At 41.8% G+C, this 18,303-nt stretch overlaps 1 protein-coding gene across 32 annotated transcripts in view, besides 5 other annotated features; it reads left to right on the forward strand.

Annotated features, from left to right (window-relative positions):
- Positions 4,368–5,013: an enhancer, noted in NCBI's record as "NANOG-H3K27ac-H3K4me1 hESC enhancer chr9:15552638-15553283 (GRCh37/hg19 assembly coordinates)". NCBI's record gives its function as "activates a minimal SCP1, AML or CMV promoter by ChIP-STARR-seq in naive H9 embryonic stem cells {active_cell/tissue: H9 hESC(naive)}" and the evidence as "EXISTENCE:reporter gene assay evidence [ECO:0000049][PMID:30033119]".
- Positions 4,368–5,078: a biological region, named in NCBI's record as "NANOG-H3K27ac-H3K4me1 hESC enhancer GRCh37_chr9:15552638-15553283".
- Positions 4,469–4,528: a silencer, noted in NCBI's record as "silent region_19786". NCBI's record gives its function as "represses an Ori minimal core promoter by ATAC-STARR-seq in GM12878 lymphoblastoid cells {active_cell/tissue: GM12878}" and the evidence as "EXISTENCE:reporter gene assay evidence [ECO:0000049][PMID:35858748]".
- Positions 4,539–4,628: a silencer, noted in NCBI's record as "silent region_19787". NCBI's record gives its function as "represses an Ori minimal core promoter by ATAC-STARR-seq in GM12878 lymphoblastoid cells {active_cell/tissue: GM12878}" and the evidence as "EXISTENCE:reporter gene assay evidence [ECO:0000049][PMID:35858748]".
- CCDC171 (coiled-coil domain containing 171) overlaps positions 4,613–18,303 on the forward strand; it is a 556,042-nt gene continuing 542,351 nt past the window's right edge. For 21 of the 32 annotated variants that reach the window (XR_007061261.1, XR_001746227.3, XR_001746228.3 and 18 more), the window contains exons 1-2: positions 4,771–5,030; positions 15,706–15,857. Coding sequence is in view for 26 of the 32 variants with exons in the window: in XM_017014437.3 (XP_016869926.1) it covers positions 15,817–15,857 (41 nt within the window). In the remaining 6 variants the exon portion in view is untranslated. Of the gene's footprint in view, positions 4,689–4,770; positions 5,031–5,194; positions 5,335–7,079; positions 7,140–15,705; positions 15,858–18,303 lie in introns of those variants that run through there. The other 11 variants (XM_005251397.3, XM_047422933.1, XM_047422931.1 and 8 more) reach the window with 5 other exon arrangements.
- Positions 4,909–5,078: an enhancer, noted in NCBI's record as "active region_28215". NCBI's record gives its function as "activates an Ori minimal core promoter by ATAC-STARR-seq in GM12878 lymphoblastoid cells {active_cell/tissue: GM12878}" and the evidence as "EXISTENCE:reporter gene assay evidence [ECO:0000049][PMID:35858748]".

Here is an 18,303-nt window from a genome sequence, read left to right on the forward strand (position 1 = left end):
CTCTGAATTAAGCTTTGGCCTAATTCAGGGAGTGTTGCTGGTTTGATCTTCTACCTAGACACTACAACTTTCTTCATATCACTAATAAGGCTGTTTCACGTTCTTATAATTTGTGTGTCCACTGGAGTCTCATCCTGTCACCAAGGCTAGACTCAAATTCCTTGCCTCCCATTTTAGCCTCCCAAAGTGCTGGCATTCCCCTGCCTCAGCCTCCCAAAGTGCTGGGATTACAGGCTTGAGCCACCACACCTGGCCTAATTTCCTTCAAGAATTTTTCCTGTGCATTAATACCTTGGCTACCATTTGGCGCAAGAGGCCTAGCTCTCAGCCTGTCTCGGATTTTGACATGCCTTCCTCACTAAGCTAATCATTTCTAGCTTTAGGTGTGTCTTCCTTTCACTTTAATGCTTAGAATTAGAAGTCATTGTAATTTGGGGGACACATTCAAACCATAGCAAATGTGAAACCCCTTAGTATAGTGCTTGGCACATATTACATGTTTAATAATGTTATTTGGCTAAGAGTGGTGGTTCACACCTATAATCCCAGCACTTTGGGAGGCCAAGGTGGGCGGATCACTTGAGATCAGCCTAGGCAACATAATGAAACCCTGTCTCTGAAAATAAAAAACATATAAATTTAAAAAACAAACACAAAATAATATTATCTGGATTTAAATCTTGTATATTAACCTATGTATCTTAATACTTTTAACACAAGCCCATGCCTACCTCTTATTACATTTATTCCCAAACATTTTGTGTTTTCTTTTGCTAATGTAAGAATGAGAAGGAAGATTTATTGCAAGGTCAGAAAAAGCAAGTCTGGAAAGGCGGGTAGGGAGATTAGGGCCCTTGACTGACAGCAGAAAATCTGGGTTTTATCCAGGCAGCAATTGAGGGGCCACCAAAAGAAATAATCAGTATAGTAACATAATCAGAGTTATGCTTTAGAAGGATATTTCCGTTTTAGCATATAGAAGGAGCATAGGACCAGAGCCACTGAGAGCAACAATTATGGCAAGGCCTTTCAGTTCTACGAATTGATACCAAGGCAGCATAATAATCAAGAAGCTGTGGGGTGGGGGGTGGGGGGTGGGAGACTAGGGGAGGGATAGCATTAGGAAAAATACCTAATGTAGATGACGGGTTGATGGGTGCAGCAAACCACCATGGCACATGTATAGCTATGTAACAAACCTGCACATTCTGCACATGTACCCCAGAACTTAAAGTATAATTAAAAAAAATAATAATCAAAACCTGGTATTTAAACCTTCTAGGGGAGGTTACAGAAGGGTCAAAAGAATGTGGTTCATCTGGTGCTTTAAAACTCTGAGGCTCACATACGTACAATCAGTTTATTACACTCCCCTAGTTTCATAAAGATACAGGTGTTCTTAGACCTGCTTTTGATTTTTTTCTATTTTTTTGATCCTCTCTTCTTATATATGCCAGTTTAAAAATGCCCTAGATGTTAATGGTCAACTTCTAAAAATGTCAAGAATTTGCACAGAAGGGGAAGGTGAGTGACTTGCATTGGGCCACAAGGAAGGTCCTAATTATGAGTGTCTCAATAGGAAGCAATAAGGAAACAGACAAATGAAGTTGCTTAGTACTAAGTAGGCACAGAAAGAAGACATGAGGTTTAGAGAAAAAGTAGGAATCCTGCATGCAGGAAGTGAGAGTTTGAGAGAGAAAGACGCAAACAAAATTTTTAGGGTTTTTCTTGCCTGGGTGTCTAGGAGATTAGAAGTTTTATAAACAGGTGGGAGAGTAGTTTAGAGGATTCCCACAAGAAGTTAGAAAGATAATTAAAATTTAGTTATATTAAATTAAGTATTTCCAGAAATTAGAGTGGCACTGTTCAAACCGGGGTTAAAAATTCAAAACTAGAGCTCAGGAGAGGTCAGAGATGGATATAAAGAGTTGAATATTGGGGATATGGAGTTCATACTTGCAGGAATGGATGACATCACTGAGGACGCTTATCTGGTACAAACGATGGGAAGGTTGAGGGCAGAAACTGAGAAAATATCACTTTGAGGGGCAGGAAGGGAAGAATGGTTTCCTGAGCAGCAGCAGAAAGTTCAGAGAGTTGGAGAAACAATGGAGTATAGAGTCTCACCTTTGCTGGAGAGGCATCTGAGGATCAACATGTGTCAGCAAAGTCAAGGGGTCTCAGATTTGGCAATGAGGTCACTACTGACTTTGGAAGCTATTGGTAGAGTGGTGTGAATGAATGAATCTAATCATATCTCAAAAGGATTGGTAGAAAGAAGAGAGAGAAATGAAGTGATGTTGAGGCCAAAAGATAAGCGGGTAGGAGAACATCTCTTTATATAGCTTTTTTCAAGTAGTAGTAGCATGTTAAGCAAATAAAAGACAACAGAGAATCTCCACGCATTTTGAAATGGTCTGATTTATTGTGTAATTTTTATATTTTTTCTGCTTAAAACCCTTCATTAGCTTCATTGCTTGATAAACTCCTAAGTATGATGTAGAAATTCCTCTGTGATCTGGGTTCTGCATATTTCTCTAGCCTCATCGCTCACACCTCCTTTGCACAGACAGCTTTTTCCAGCTTTTCAAATGTCTGGTGCTGGTTCTTATGCTGGTGTTTGCAGCTTCCGTGTCTTCCTTCTAGTTCCTTGTTAGCTTCATAAATCTTTAACGGTCTTCTTAAACTAAGCTCAAAGTTCTTTTCTATGAATCATTTCTGGGAGCTCAGGGTTGATATCAATATTCCCCTGTATTTCTATCATCTAGCTCCATGTTGGGTACATAGTCTGTATTCTGTAAATGCTGAATGAACAAATAAATGAAAACGGGTCTTCACATCACATCCATTTTTCATTTCAAAAACATACAATATAGTACATAGCATTTATTCTTGCGATACAATATTCACTTTTGTGACTTTGTTAAAACACAAATAATTTTTTTTTTTTTTTTTTTGAGACGGAGTCGCGCTCTGTCGCCCAGGCTGGAGTGCAGTGACGCAATCTCGGCTCACTGCAAGCTCCACCACCCGGGTTCACGCCATTCTCCTGCCTCAGCCTCCCGAGTAGCTGGGACTACAGGCGCCCGCCACCACGCCCAGCTAATTTTTTTTGTATTTTTAGTAGAGACAGGGTTTCACCGTGTCAGCCAGGATGGTCTCGGTCCCCTGACCTCATGATCCGCCCACCTCGGCCTCCCAAAGTGCTGGGATTACAGACGTGAGCCACCGCGCCCGGCCAACACAAATGAAATTTTAAGTAGTTCCAGCTACTCAGGAGGCTGAGGCAGGAGGATGGCTTGAGTCCTGAAGGTCTAGGCTGCAGCGAGGCGTGATTGTGCCGCTGTACTCTAGCCTGGGCAACAGAGAACAACCCTGTTTCAAAAAAAAAAAAAAAAAAAAGAAAAAGAAAAAAATAAAATTTAAAAATATTTTTTAAAGCTTGTAACATAAAAGTTCTAATCTCATTAGTCAGTTGTAATTTTCCATTTCATTTCTAAACTTTAGAGTGGGCTATTTTTTCCCTTTATTTCCTCTGGAGCAATTGTCCTCTTTATGGCTCTAGTAAAAAGAATCAGGGACAGGCCTCCGTTTTAGATGTAAATGACTAAAATCAAACCAATTAAGGTTTCAGTGCTACAAGAATCAAGGAGGTTTTAATCTCAATTTGTGTTTGCATTTATGACCGTTGGCTCTCCCATGGGAGAGAGAAAAGACGGCCCCTACACCTGGTTTCAGGTTGATTACAATCAACAAGGACCCAGTTTAGTATAGAAGGCTCGTTTTGCATTAAACACCTTTTTGTGCAGAGGAGGTGGTGGTGGTGAAGATAAAAATCTTTGACCAAATCCTGTCAATTTGCATTGTTCTCTGGAAGAATAGGCTTTCAAAAGTTAAGGAACAAAAGAGGAGTTGGTTTTCCAGTCTCCCTTAGGCGGCAGCAGATTGTGAAGCAGCCACCGGGAGGAACCAAAGTATAAATTATCAATAAGAGGACGGTGTGTGTGTGTGTGTGTGTGTGTGTGTGTGTGTGTGTGTGTGTGTCAGAGAAAAGTGAGAGAAGCGAGGAAAGAGATAGGGAACACACATGCTAAGGCTCCGAGGCGTTTTCCACGATGTGCCTGGTTACGTAATGTTGATAATGAAACGCACTGCAAGCAGCATCAATGCATTCTTCCGACCCTGCTCACCACTCCCAGCTGGGATACAATGGGGACGGGAAGAGGGGACAGGATGCCCTGTGCAGGCAGAGAGCTGTCCAGACAGAGGTAAACCAGGCAGTTGGGCAGAACCCGAGCCCAGAGAATTTCTCCCCAGGCCCCGGGACCAGCCCACCGTTGCTGTGGCTCTAAAGATGGGCAGAAGAACCAGTTTCAAAAAGCAGGATCTGGGATCCGACCTCTTAGGTTTTTATTCAGCAGGCAGGGAAAAGGGGTTAGAAGCTGGAAATCTGCATTTCCACTCGGCTCTGGCGACTGAGACAGGAACGCGGACACCTCACGCTGAAAAGCCACAGCAGCGCGTGGGCAGGGCGCACCCCCGCGCGGGGACGCGGAGCTCCTGGAGCGAGAGCGCGTGCGGTCGCGAGCCCGCCGCTCCCCAGCAACGGCGCATGCGCCCGTTCGTCCCTCAGCGAAGGCGCGCTGCTTGGCGGGCGGGCTCTTCCAATCCGAGCCAGCGTTCTCGGAGTACGTATCCAGGAGCTGCAAGCTGAGGGCTGCGGGAGGCGGGAGGAAAAAGTGGGGCCGGGCCTGAGTTGGGCTGACCTGTGAAAGTCTGGGAAGGTCTGCGAGAGAAGCGGAGTGTTTTCAGCTCCGGAAGTGGCAGTTGTAAACTTCACCTCCCGGGGGCTCTTCCCCTTCTGTACCCCTTTGCTGTTTGTCCCCCTCCTCCCGGGTCCTGGAGTCCGTCGTGTTCCAACAGTTTTTGCTCTTATTCCCGTGGGCTGCCTGGGCCTCCTTTCACCCGTGAGACTTGGAGCGGCCCCTGGGGTCTTGGGTGTGCAGCACGGATCACGCGAGACCCCTGAGGTAACCGCACGGTGTGGGGGCTTCGAGGCGGACGACTTGGGAGGGAGGTGTTGAGAGGGTTGTAGGGGCCCCTGAGTGAGTTTGGGGCGGCCCTGGGGCTGTTGGCGTAGGCTTTGGGGCACGCCTCCAGCTCCCTGGGCTGGGTCTCCCCGCCCACCTGGAGGAAGATCTCCGTGGAGCATCCTAGCCAGAGATCGCTGAGGCTGTACCAGAGCGCCGGATGGGGACCAGAGGGGAGGCAGAGGACCGGGATTTGGAGCTTCTTAGGGTTACTGCTGCGGAGCGCTTTCGTTCCCGAGAATCAGTAAGCCCCTCGAGGATAGGGACCACGTCTTTCAGCCCGCTCTCCCCTTTTTAAATGCCGGCCACACACTAGACACTCTACAGATGTTTGATAAACGGGAATGAGTTGTGCTAGACTGTCACCTGCAGCTTCTACCTACCCTCCAGGACTCTGAGAGACTTAGAATCTGAGTCAGCTGTGCGTTTTCCCGAAGCTGTAAATTTTCTGCAGAAATGGAGCCGACTTTTTGAATTTTTTTATTCCATTATGATATTGATCCTAAGAAAATACATATTTCATGTATACATTTTAGGTAAATGAGATAAATACGTCTTTATTTTGTTTATTAGAGTTGGTGTCCAGCTCTTTTGAATACATGACATACCGATGTTTTATGGTTTTCATAATATTGGAGAAAAGAACATACGATTTTGTCACTTTTTTTTTTTTTTGAGATGGAGTCTTGCTCTGTCACCCAGGCTGGAGTGCAGTGGCGCGATCTCGGCTCACTGCAAGCTCCGCCTCCCGGGTTCACGCCATTCTCCTGTCTCAGCCTCCCCAGCAGCCGGGACAACCGGCGCACGCCGCCACGCCCGGCTAATTTTTTTGTATTTTTAGTGGAGACGGGGTTTCACTGTGTTAGCCAGGATGGTCTCGATCTCCTGACATCGTGATCCGCCCGCCTCGGCCTCCCAAAGTGCTGGGATTACAGGCGTGAGCCACTGCGCCCGGCATGTCACTTATTTTATTTAACTGTTAGTTCCTACTCTCAACAAAACAGTGGTAGAGCAGAAGATGAACATGGTTTTTCATAAAATGCAGAGGAAACAAAGGCAGTGCAACCTGCTAAGAGGAAAGATGAAGGGCATAGTCTTAGTTTGTAGCTTTCTGTGTTAGTCTTGGGGCTCAGCCATTTATGAGCTGCGTCCCCACAGGCAAACCACCTAACCTTCCTAGGCGTTAGGTTCTTTATCTGTCAGATAAGGAGGAAGGACTTAGTCTCTAAAGTCTCATTTGATTCTAAAACGTTTTGGTTGTCTCAGTCCCTTGGTCTTGGTCTTGTTTTGATGTAAGAACCAAACTTCCCCTTTAAAGGTTGATTATGTACCTATGCTGAGAAACACTTCCAACACAGGTGTGGTTACTAATGAAGACAGCACTGCGTAGTGAAAGAGGATGGACTTAGCCAGATGTGGATTTGAATTCTCATTTTCCGGCTGAATATTTTTACACAAATTATTCAACATCTCCAAGCCTCAGTTTTCTTATCTGTGAAATGTGCATAATCTCATAGAGATGTTGGGATTAAATGAGATCAGGAATGCTGATCTCAGTATCTGGCATATAGTAAGTGGCTCAATAATAGGAATTTCTATTTTTTCATCCACCCATCCCTCGTTTTTCCTCTGATCTGTGCAGACACACTGAAAGATGAGTGCATTTGGGATGACCAACTGAAGGACTCAGATGTAAGGTAGAAAAATTTTTTACCAGTAGTGGCTCCGAAATCTAAAGTAGATTCGCCTTTCTGGCTGGCACCTCCTCTCAGGATGTCGGGATCACTGATCCCTTGGCCTCAATTACCCTTTTATCTATTTTTAAAAATGCTTCTCATTGATGAATGATACACATAATATCCCATCATCTATTTTAGTAGGAATGGTGAGATTAGTTCAACTCCACTATCAAAAAAAGATTAATCTATTAATACATTAACATAAAAAGCTAATTTGAACCTTGCCTTTCTTTATCTATTACTGCTACAGGATGGCCTGGTTTTGGTCCAGAACTGTGAAGGTGCTATCTGGATTGAGAATCGACTGAAGGTCTGAGTAATCTTTTGTTGAGAAGGCCATGGCTTGTCAGTTTCGATACGGGGAAAAATGATATTTTTAAGAAATCTCCAGCAAAGAGCAGAAATGCTTCCCTGATAAGTGAGGTCTTACATGCTTCCCTGACTGGGATGAACTGTGTCTTGAGGGCCAATAGCAAGGCACACAGCAGAGCTCTGGAGTCAGCTAACTTGGGTGTAAATCCTGACCCTGTCACTAGAGATGTGAGAGATGTGACTTTAGTCAAGTGACTGAGTATCTATTTTTATTTCTTTTATTATTATACTTTAAGTTATAGAGTACATGTGCACAATGTGCAGGTTTGTTACATATGCATACATGTGCCATGTTGGTGTGCTGCACCTGTTAACTCGTCATTTACATTAAGTATATCTCCTAATGCTATACCTCCCACCTTCCCCCACTCTCTGCCAGGCCCCGGTGTGTGATGTTCCCCACCCTGTGTCCAAGTATTCTCGTTGTTCAATTCCTACCTAAGAGTGAGAACATGCGGTGTTTGGTTTTCTGTCCTTGCGATATTTTGCTCAGAATGATGGTTTCTAGCTTTATCCATCTCCCTACAAAGGACATGAACTCATCCTTTTTTATGGCTACATAGTATTCCATGGTGTATATGTGCCACATTTTCTTAATCCAGTCTATCATTGATGGACATTTGGGTTGGTTCCAAGTGTTTGCTATGGTGAATGGTGCCGCAATAAACATATGTGTGCATGTGTCTTTATAGCAGCATGATTTACAGTTTCTGCCGAGAGGTCCGCTGTTAGTCTGATGGGCTTCCCTTTGTGGGTAACCTGACCTTTCTCTCTGGCTGCCAGTGATGGGATGGCTGGGTCAAATGGTATTTCTAGTTCTAGATCCTTGAGGAGTCGCCATACTGTCTTCCACAATGGTTGAACTAGTTTACAGTCCCACCAACGGTGTAAAAGTGTTCCTATTTCTCCACATCCTCTCTAGCACCTGTTGTTTCCTGACTTTTTAATGATCGCCATTCTAACTGGTGTGAGATGGTATCTCATTGTGGTTTTGATTTGCATTTCTCTGATGGCCAGTGATGATGAGTATTTTTTCATGTGTCTGTTGGCTGCATAAATATATTCTTTTGAGAAATGTCTGTTCATATCCTTTGCCCACTTTTTGATGGGGTTGTTTGATTTTTTCTTGTAAATTTGTTTAAGTTCTTTGTAGATTCTGGATATTAGCCCTTTGTCAGATGGGTAGATTGTAAAAATTTTCTCCCATTCTGTAGGTTGCCTGTTCACTCTGATGGTAGTTTCTTTTGCTGTGCAGAAGCTCTTTAGTTTAATTAGATCTCATTTGTCAATTTTGGCTTTTGTTGCCATTGCTTTTGGTGTTTTAGTCATGAAGTCCTTGCCCATGCCTATGTCCTGAATGGTATTGCCTAGATTTTCTTCTAGGGTTTTTATGGTTTTAGGTCTAACATTTAAGTCGTTAATCCATCTTGACTTAATTTTTGTGTAAGGTATAAGGAAGGGTTCCAGTTTCAGCTTTCTGCATATGGCTAGCCAGTTTTCCCAACACCATTTATTAAATAGGGAATCCTTTCCCCATTGCTTGTTTTTGTCAGGTTTGTCAAAGATCAGATGGTTGTAGATGTGTGGTATTATTTCTGAGGGCTCTATTCTGTTCCATTGGTCTATATATCTGTTTTGTTACCAGTACCATGCTGTTTTGGTGACTGTAGCCTTGTAGTATAGTTTGAAGTCAGGTAGTGTGATGCCTCCAGCTTTGTTCTTTTTGCTTAGGATTGTCTTGGCAATGTGGGCTCTTTTTTGGTTCCATATGAATTTTAAAGTAGTTTTTTCCAATTCTGTGAAGAAAGTCATTGGTAGCTTGATGGGGATGGCACTGAATCTATAAATTACCTTGGGGAGTATGGCCATTTTCACAATATTAATTCTTCCTATCCATGAGCATGGAATGTTCTTCCATTTGTTTGTGTCCTCTTTTATTTTGTTGAGCAGTGGTTTGTAGTTCTCCTTGAAGAGGTCCTTCACTTCCTTTGTAAGTTGGATTCCTAGGTATTTTACTCTCTTTGTAGCAATTGGGAATGGGAATTCACTCATGATTTGGCTTTCTGTCTGTTATTGGTGTATAAGAATGCTTGTGATTTTTGCACATTGATTTTGTATCCTGAGACTTTGCTGAAGTTGCTTATCAGCTTAAGGAGATTTTGTGCTGAGACGATGGGGTTTTCTAAATATACAATCATGTCACCTGCAAACAAGGACAATTTGACTTCCTCTTTTCCTCATTGAATACCCTTTATTTCTTTCTCCTGCCTGATTGCCCTGGCCAGAAGTTCCAACACTATGTTGAATAGGAGTGGTGAGAGGGGGCATCCCTGTCTTGTGCCAGTTTTCAAAGGGAATGTTTCCAGTTTTTGCCCATTCAGTATGATATTGGCTGTGGGTTTGTCATAAAGAGCTCTTATTATTTTGAGATACGTCCCATCAATACCTAATTTATTGAGAGTTTTTAGCATGAAGTGTTGTTGAATTTTGTCAAAGGCCTTTTCTGCATCTATTGAGATAATCATGTGGTTTTTGTCATTGGTTCTGTTTATGTGATGGATTACGTTTATTGATTTGCGTATGTTGAACCAGCCTTCCATCCCAGGGATGAAGCCAACTTGATCGTGGTGGATAAGCTTTTTGATGTGCTGCTGGATTTGGTTTGCCAGTATTTTATTGAGGATTTTTGCATCAATGTTCATCAGGGATATTGGCTAAAATTCTCTTTTTTTGTTGTGTCTCTGCCAGGCTTTGGTATCAGGATGATGCTGGCCTCATAAAATGAATTAGGGAGGATTCCCTCTTTTTCTATTGTTTGGAATAGTTTCAGAAGGAATGGTACCAGCTCCTCTTTGTACCTCTGGTAGAATTTGGCAGTGAATCCGTCTGGTCCTGGATATTTTTTGGTTGGTAGGCTATTATTGCCTCAATTTCAGAACCTGTTATTGGTCTTTTCAGGGATTCAACTTCTTCCTGGTTTAGTCTTGGGTGGGTGTATGTGTCCAGGAATTTATCCATTTCCTCTAGATTTTCTAGTTTATTTGCGTAGTGGTGTTCATAGTATTCTCTGATGGTAGTTTGTATTTCTGTGGGATCAGTGGTGATATCCCCTTTATCTTTTTTTATTACATCTTTGATTCTTCTCTCTTTTCTTCTTTATTAGTCTTGCTAGTGGTCTAGCAATTTTGTTGATCTTTTCCAAAAACCAGCTCCTGGATTCACTGATATTTTGAAGGGTTTTTTTGTGTCTCTATCTCCTTCAGTTCTGCTCTGATCTTAGTTATTTCTTGCCTTCTGCTAGCTTTTGAATGTGTTTGCTGTTGCTTCTCTAGTTCTTTTAATTGTGATGTTAGGGTATCAATTTTAGATCTTTCCTGCTTTCTCTTGTGGGCATTTAGTGCTATAAATTTCCCTCTACACACTGCTTTGAATGTGTCCCAGAGATTCTGGTATGTTGTGTCTTTGTTCTCATTGGTTTCAAAGAACATCTTTATTTCTGCCTTCATTTCGTTATGTACCCAGCAGTCATTCAGGAGCAGGTTGTTCAGTTTCCACGTAGTTGAGCGGTTGTGAGTGAGTTTCTTAATCCTGAGTTGTAGTTTGATTGCAGTGTGGTCTGAGAGACAGTTTGTTATAATTTCTGTTCTTTTACATTTGCTGAGGAGTGCTTTACTTCCAACTATGTGGTCAATTTTGGAATAAGTGTGATGTGGTGCCGAGAAGAATGTATATTCTGTTGATTTGGGGTGGAGAATTCTGTAGATGTCTGTTAGGTCTGCTTGGTGCAGAGCTGAGTTCAATTCCTGGATATCCTTGTTAACTTTCTGTCTCATTGATCTGTCTAATGTTTACAGTGGGGTTTTAAAGTCTCCCATTATTATTGTATGGGAGTCTAAGTCTCTTTGTAGGTCTCTAAGACTTGCTTTATGAATCTGGCTGCTCCCGTATTGGGTGCATATATATTTAGGATAGTTAGCTCTTCTTGTTGAACTGATCCCTTTACCATTATGTAATGGCCTTCTTTGTCTCTTTTGATCTTTGTTAGTTTAAAGTCTGTCTTATCAGAGATTAGGATTGCAACCCTGGCTTTTTTTTGTTTTCCATTTGCTTGGCAGATCTTACTCCGTCCCTTTATTTTAAGCCTATGTGTGTCTCTGCACGTGAGATAGGTCTCCTCAGTACAGCACACTGATGGGTCTTGACTGTATCCAATTTGCCAGTCTGTGTCTTTTAATTGGAGCATTTAGCCCATTTACATTTAAAGTTAATATTGGTATGTGTGAATTTGATCCTGTCATTATGATGTTAGCTGGTTATTTTGCTCATTAGTTGATGCAGTTTTTTTCCTAGGCTCGATGGTCTTTACAATTTGGCATGTTTTTGCAGTGGCTGGTACCGGTTGTTCCTTTCCATGTTTAGTGCTTCCTTCAGGAGCTCTTGTAAGGCAGGCCTGGTGGTGACAGAATCTCTCAATATTTGTTTGTCTGAAAAGGATTTTATTTCTCCTTCACTTATGAAGCTTAGTTTGGCTGGATATGAAATTCTGGGTTGAAAATTCTTTTCTTTAAGAATGTTGAATATTGGCCCTCACTCTCTTCTGGCTTGTAGAGTTTCTGCTGAGAGATCCGCTGTTAGTCTGATGGGCTTCCCTTTGTGGGTAACCTGACGTTTCTGGCTGCCCTTAATATTTTTTCCTTCATTTCAACTTTGGTGAATCTGACAATTATGTGTCTTGGAGTTGCTCTTCTTGTGGAGTATCTTTGTGGCGTTCTCTGTATTTCCTGAATTTGAATGTTGGCCTGCCTCACTAGGTTGGGGAAGCTCTCCTGGATGATATCCTGAAGGGTGTTTTCCACTGGGTTCCATTCTCCCCGTCACTTTCAGGTACACCAATCAGACGTAGTTTTGGTCTTTTCACATAGTCCTGTATTTCTTGGAGGCTTTGTTCATTTCTTTTTACTCTTTTTTCTCTAAATTTCTCTTCTCTTTTCATTTCATTCATTTGTTCTTCAATCAATGATACTCCTTCTTCCACTTGATCAAATCGGCTACTGAAGCTTGTGCATTCGTCACATAGTTCTCTTGCCATCGTTTTCAGCTCCATCAGGTCATTCAGGGATTTCTCTACACTGTTTATTCTAGTTAGCCATTCATCTAATCTTTTTTCAAGGTTTTTAGCTTCTTTGCGATGGGTTTGAACATCCTCCTTTAGCTCGGAGAAGTTTATTATTACCCATCGTCTGAAGCCTTCTTCTCTTAACTCATCAAAGTCATTCCCAGTCCAGCTTTGTTCCGTTGCTGGTGAGGAGCTGCGTTCTTTTGGAGGGGGAGAGGCGCTCTGATTTTTAGAATTTTCAGCTTTTCTGCTCTGGTTTCTCCCATCTTTGTGGTTTTATCTACCTTTGGTCTTTGTTGATGGTGACATACAGATGAGGTTTTCATGTGGATGTTTATTCGTTTTCCTTCTAACAGTCAGGACCCTCAGCTGCAGGTCTGTTGGAGTTTGCTGGAGGTGCACTTCAGACCCTGTTTGCCTGGATATCACTAGCGGAAGCTCAGTTGGAAATGCAGAAATCATTCGTCTTTTGTGTCGCTCACGCTGGGAGCTACAGACTGGAGCTGTTCCTATTTGGCCATCTTGGAACCTCCTCCGTGACTGCTTATCTTTAAGCCCTGGTTTCCTCATGTATAAAGTATGGATATTAGTATTATCTTCCCCTTGGGGTTGGTGTAGAGTGAAATGAGACAATATGTAGAAAGTTTTTAATACGATGCCTGGAGAAGGGAGTTTTGTGACAGTTGGAATGATGACAGCAGGGAATGACTTTGTATCATATAGTTTGTTCACAAGTAATGATCAATTGAATGTTTTCAAATGGAAAGTAATATTTAGAGTTCAACAAATATTGAAGAAGAGAAAGGCTGATTTTGATTGCATGTCATGAGGAATTTTTAATCACTGACATAGTTTGACCAAATTGTGTATTTTAACTTTGTGGAGTTTCACAGGGAAGTTCCAAGTAAAGCTAGAAATAAATACTCTTTAAGGGCACTGTAGTTCTTTAACTTAACTTTGTATTCCATTGACATTTTCATTACTATCCTGTAACTCTGAACTTGACTGTCCTCATCATTCCTTGCCTTTTTACCTGGTGGAAGAAGAGGGAGGAGATTTTACTGCACCTTCTCTGCCATGCTCGATTGCATGGGAATCCCATCATAGTTCATATTCAGCCACTGACCGTATCAACTTTGGTCCTTCATTGATTTAGTCTTCCTAAAACACACAGAGAAGTAAATCCTTGTTCTCTGTGTCATCAGGGGCTGATATCAGCGAGGAAGATGAAGAAAATTAAAAAAAAAAGAAAGACTTGATAAAAGACACACAGGCAGAGCTGGTGTGGAAACCCATTTTCCTTCTTACCTGCCTGTTACTCAAGATTTTTTCACCTTAGGTCCAAGATGCTGCCTGCAGTTCTTTGCCATGTGGCTTCTTCCATGGGCAGTTCACAGCATGACATTTTGCTTCTTTTTTTTTTAAGATGGAGTCTTACTCTGTAGCCCAGGCTGGAGTGCAGTGGCGCAATCTTGGCTCACTGCAGTCTCCACCTCCTGGGTTCAAGCGATTCTCCTATCTCAACCTCCTGAGTAGCTGGGATTATAGGCGCCCACCATCACGCCCAGCTAATTTTCTTTATTTTTAGTAGAGTCGGGGTTTCACCATCTTAGCCAGACTGGTCTCTACCTCCTGACCTCGTGATCCACCCACCTCGGCCTCCCTAAGTGCTGGGATTACAGGTGTGACCCACCGCGCCTGGCCTGACACTTTGCTTCTTTAAGGTCAGCAGGAGATTGTCATTCAGTCTGCTAAGATAAAAGTCTTATATAATGTAATCATAAGAGTGGCATCCCTTCATCTTTGCTGTATTCTCCTGGTTATATATCAGTGAGCTAGAAGTAGATGAAACTTGCTTCTGAGCTATGGAAGATGCTATCTCTCTAGAGGACCATTCAGATTTGAAGATGTTAGGTGCCAAAATAATGCACTGAAGTATGATGATTCCCTTTAACTTTATTGAAACAACTTTATTAAAAGTTTCGTAACCTCTACTTGCCACACTTCTCTGCCCAATATACGAAAACATGATTAAGGCCCTAACTATCTGAAATTATTTTCCTAAGAGGTAAATAGAGGTCTGTTTATGCCTGTTGTGCTACCTCTGCATATGTGTATTTAAGCTTTTCAACAAAACAGGAACATTTCATGTATGTGTTTTTGTGCCTTGGACATTACTCTTAAATACAGAAGGGTCCATTCCTTCTGGGTTCTAACTCTTACTTTCATTCTGAAGGAAGTTTCCCTGGGGTCTGACCTTCAGGAGCGTGGTGATAATGTGACAAGATTTTGGGACAATATCTGAAGAGCTTGATAGACTCCTTGGTGCCCCCCACTTAATAGCTGAATGGCTTTGGGCAAGACAGTTGAGCGTCTCTGAATCAGATGAGTTTTCTTATAAAGTGAGGATAATAACCCTCACGTAAGATAACTTATAGTTCAGGTTTATGTGTCATCAGTGGCCTGTTAGAAAGAACTTGAACTTCAGTGTCAGAGAGTTATGAATTGGAATCTTGGTTCTGTAACTATGTGACTTTTTCAAGTTACTTCTTTTTTTTTTTTTTTTGACACGGAGTTTCTCTCTTGTTGGCCAGGCTTGAGTGCAATGGTGCAATCTTGGCTCACTGCAACCTCCGCCTCCCAGGTTCAAGCAATTCTTCCACCTCAGCCTCCTGAGTAGCTGGGATTACAGGCATGTGCCACCCCGCCTGGCTAATTTTATATTTTTAGTAGAGGTGGGGTTTCTCCATGTTGGTCAGGCTGGTTTAGAACTCCCGACCTCAGGTGATCTGCCTGCCTCTGCCTCCCAAAGTGCTGGGATTACAGTCGTGAGCCACCGCACCCGGCTCAAGTTACTTTTAATCTCAGTCTTGGTTTTCTTGGTAGAAAAATGGGATAATCCTTACATTGCAGTGTTGTAAGGATCACAATGCTATATATAAAATACCAATTACAGTGCTTGACGCTGTAGTAGGTGTTCAGTAGATGAATGACGGTGGTATTCATTTGTCTACCACTATTTCCAACCTAGTCTTTCAGGTCCCTGGATAGATGAGATCTCCCCATTCCCACATCATCTTGGCCAAAATTTCAACCTCTGTCCTAGGTCAGACTGTTCAGTCAGCCACGTGAATCACTGTTGTAAAGATCCTTTGGATCTATATGTAGGAGCTGTTAGTCATTTCTCAGCACTGAGATACAGTCTCCATCTCAGTCTGCTTATTTGAGTTCCTTTTCTTTTGGTGATCTTCTGAGGTCTAGATATCTCTATACACCTACAATTTCACTTATCAATTATTACATCTTTCCAAAATAAACCAAAAAACAAGAAAAATCTCCAATAGTATCAGGACTCAAACTGCTATTGTATCATTTACTATTTTAACAGACCTCAAATCATCTAACGTGAAGCCACAGACATCTTGGGCAATTTTAATCATCAAGAAAGAAATATGTCATTAAGAAATAGCAGGGTATTTTGAAAGAGTTGGAAAACATCATGAATTTGAATACTTCAAGTAATACTGGTGATACCCAAAGGTAAGCCTCTAGTCTCTTCTTTTAGTTGATGAACGTTTTTAGTTGCAAGGAACAGGGAGAAGTCAGTGGTTGTAGAGCTAACTGTAAGAATTCTCATGGGATGGTAAGGGGAGTAGAAATTCTGTGGGACTGAAGGAGCATGAATGAAGCCTCATAAGAATTGGAACTGATTCTAGAGACTTTATGGGGATTTTGTGCTCCTCTGTTAATTTGGACCACAAAAGTCTGTGTGTCTGAACTTTGTCCTGTTACTAGAGACTTGCTTGTTCTTTTCCACTACTTTAAATGTTTCCCTTGTATTTTTTATTTATATTTCTGTTTTGTTTTCTTTAACCTCTGTGGCTTTAATTCCTCTTTCTTCATTGGCCCAGCTCTAATTCATGGCTACTGCTTAAGCATTCATTTAGTCTTAGCTCCTGTTGCTGTTTCGCTTCCTTACTTGGTATCTCTCAGTTTACCCTTCAAGACGTAACGCCTAATTGCTGTTGCTCATCTTTTTTGTACCATTGATTTCTGCCTTTGGGCGTGGCGCCTACCTTTAGTTCATTCACCTTTGGTGGGTGGAGTCTATAATACAAAACTGGACCACATAGGGCAGTGCCACTCTCTCCTAAGTGTGCTTTACAAAGAAATAAGTACTGAAATTAAAAGTAAATGTTTAGAAACTTTTATAGTCATGTAACAGAGTAATATTCTGTCTGCTGAATCTAAGAGTAAAACATTTGGGGTTGTATTCTGTCTGTTTTTAAAATTTCTTTAAAAATAATGCATTAAATGTATTTTACAAAATCATCATGGATGGGGTGAAGATAGTCCTTCCTCATATTTAGTTTGAGAAGGACTGATCTAGACTGCCTTTTCAGCAAGGATGTGTGGGTGGGACAAGTACCAAGACTAACATGTAATTTACCCGTAAATTTGTTTTCCACTTAGCTTTTGAAGCTACCCACCCCCCACTTTTTTTTTTTTTTTTTTTTGAGACAGAATCTTGCTCTGTCGCCCAGATTGGAGTGCAGTGGCATGATCTTGGTTCCCTGCAACCTCCGCCTCCCGAGTTCAAGTGATTCCCCTGCCTCAGCCTCCTAAGTAGCTGGGATTATAGGCGCCTGCTGCCACGCCTGGCTAATTTTAAATATGTATTTACAAATTAGAATATTTCACCTTATTTAGTATCCTGCTTTTTCAATTTTGGGGAAACTTCTTACCACATCAATGTATCAAAGTTTTTAAATTTTTCTGAAGTGGGGTCTTGTTATGTTGCCCAGGCTGTCTGAGAACTCCTGGCCTCAGGCAATCCTCCTGCATCAGCCTCCCAAGTAGCTGGAACTGTAGGCACGCACCATTGCTCCGGCTTGTCATCATTTTTAATGGCTGAATTACTTTTTATAATTAGAGAATCTGGATACAGTTATTTAAAATCTGCTACTAATCTACTTTCTGTTTCTATAGATTTGCCTTTTTTGAACAATTCATGTGAATGGAATCACATAATAGATGGTCTTTTGTGGCTTCTTTTACAGGGCATATTCCTGAGTTTTGTAAAGTTGTAACACGTAGCAGCCCTTCGTTTCTTTTTATTGCTGATTGTATTCCATTGTATGGATATGCCACATTATGCCCATCTGCCAGTTGACAGACATTTGAGTTGTTTCCACTTTTTGGGTACTATGAATAATGCTGCTGTGCATGTTTGCATATGTCTTTGTGTTGACATATGTTTTTGTTTCCCTTAGGTAGATTCTTAGGAGCAGCAATGCTGTATCATATAGTAAATTTATGTTAAAATTTTCAAGAAACTGCCAAATTGTGTTCTGAAGTGGCTGGGTCATTTTATATTATCACTAGCAATAATTGAGGGTTTTAATTTCTCTATAACCTGACCAATACTGGTTTTTATCTATTTCAATTTAGCCATTTTGGTGAGTGTGAAGTTATATGTTATTGTGGTTATAATTTGAATTTTCCTAATGATTAACGATGTTGAACATCTTTGCATGTGCTTTTTGGTAATTCATGTATCTTCATTGGTGAAATGTCTCTTCAGATCTGTTTATTTTTAAATTGTGTTTTTTTTTTTTATGTTATTGAGCTTTAGGAGTGTTTGTATATTTGGAATGCAAGTCCTTTATCAGATACATGATTTGCTGGCCTGGTGCAGTAACTCATGCCTGTAATCCCAGCACTTTGGGAGGCTGAGGTGGGTGGATTGCTTGAGCCCAGGAGTTCGAGACCAGCCTGGCCAATATGGCGAAACCCCATCTCTACAAAAAAATACAAAAATTAGCCAGGCGTGGTGGTGTGCCTGTGTGGTCCCAGCTACTCCAGAGGCTGAGGCATGAGAATTGTTTGAAGCTGGGAGGCGGAGATTGCAGTGAGCCTAGATCATGCCACTGTACTTGAGCCAGGGTGACAGAGCGAGACTTTGTCTCAACAACAACAACAACAA

The sequence above is a fragment of the Homo sapiens genome, chromosome 9 (assembly GCF_000001405.40).
Source record: "Homo sapiens chromosome 9, GRCh38.p14 Primary Assembly".
NCBI classification, from domain to species: Eukaryota; Metazoa; Chordata; class Mammalia; order Primates; family Hominidae; genus Homo; species Homo sapiens.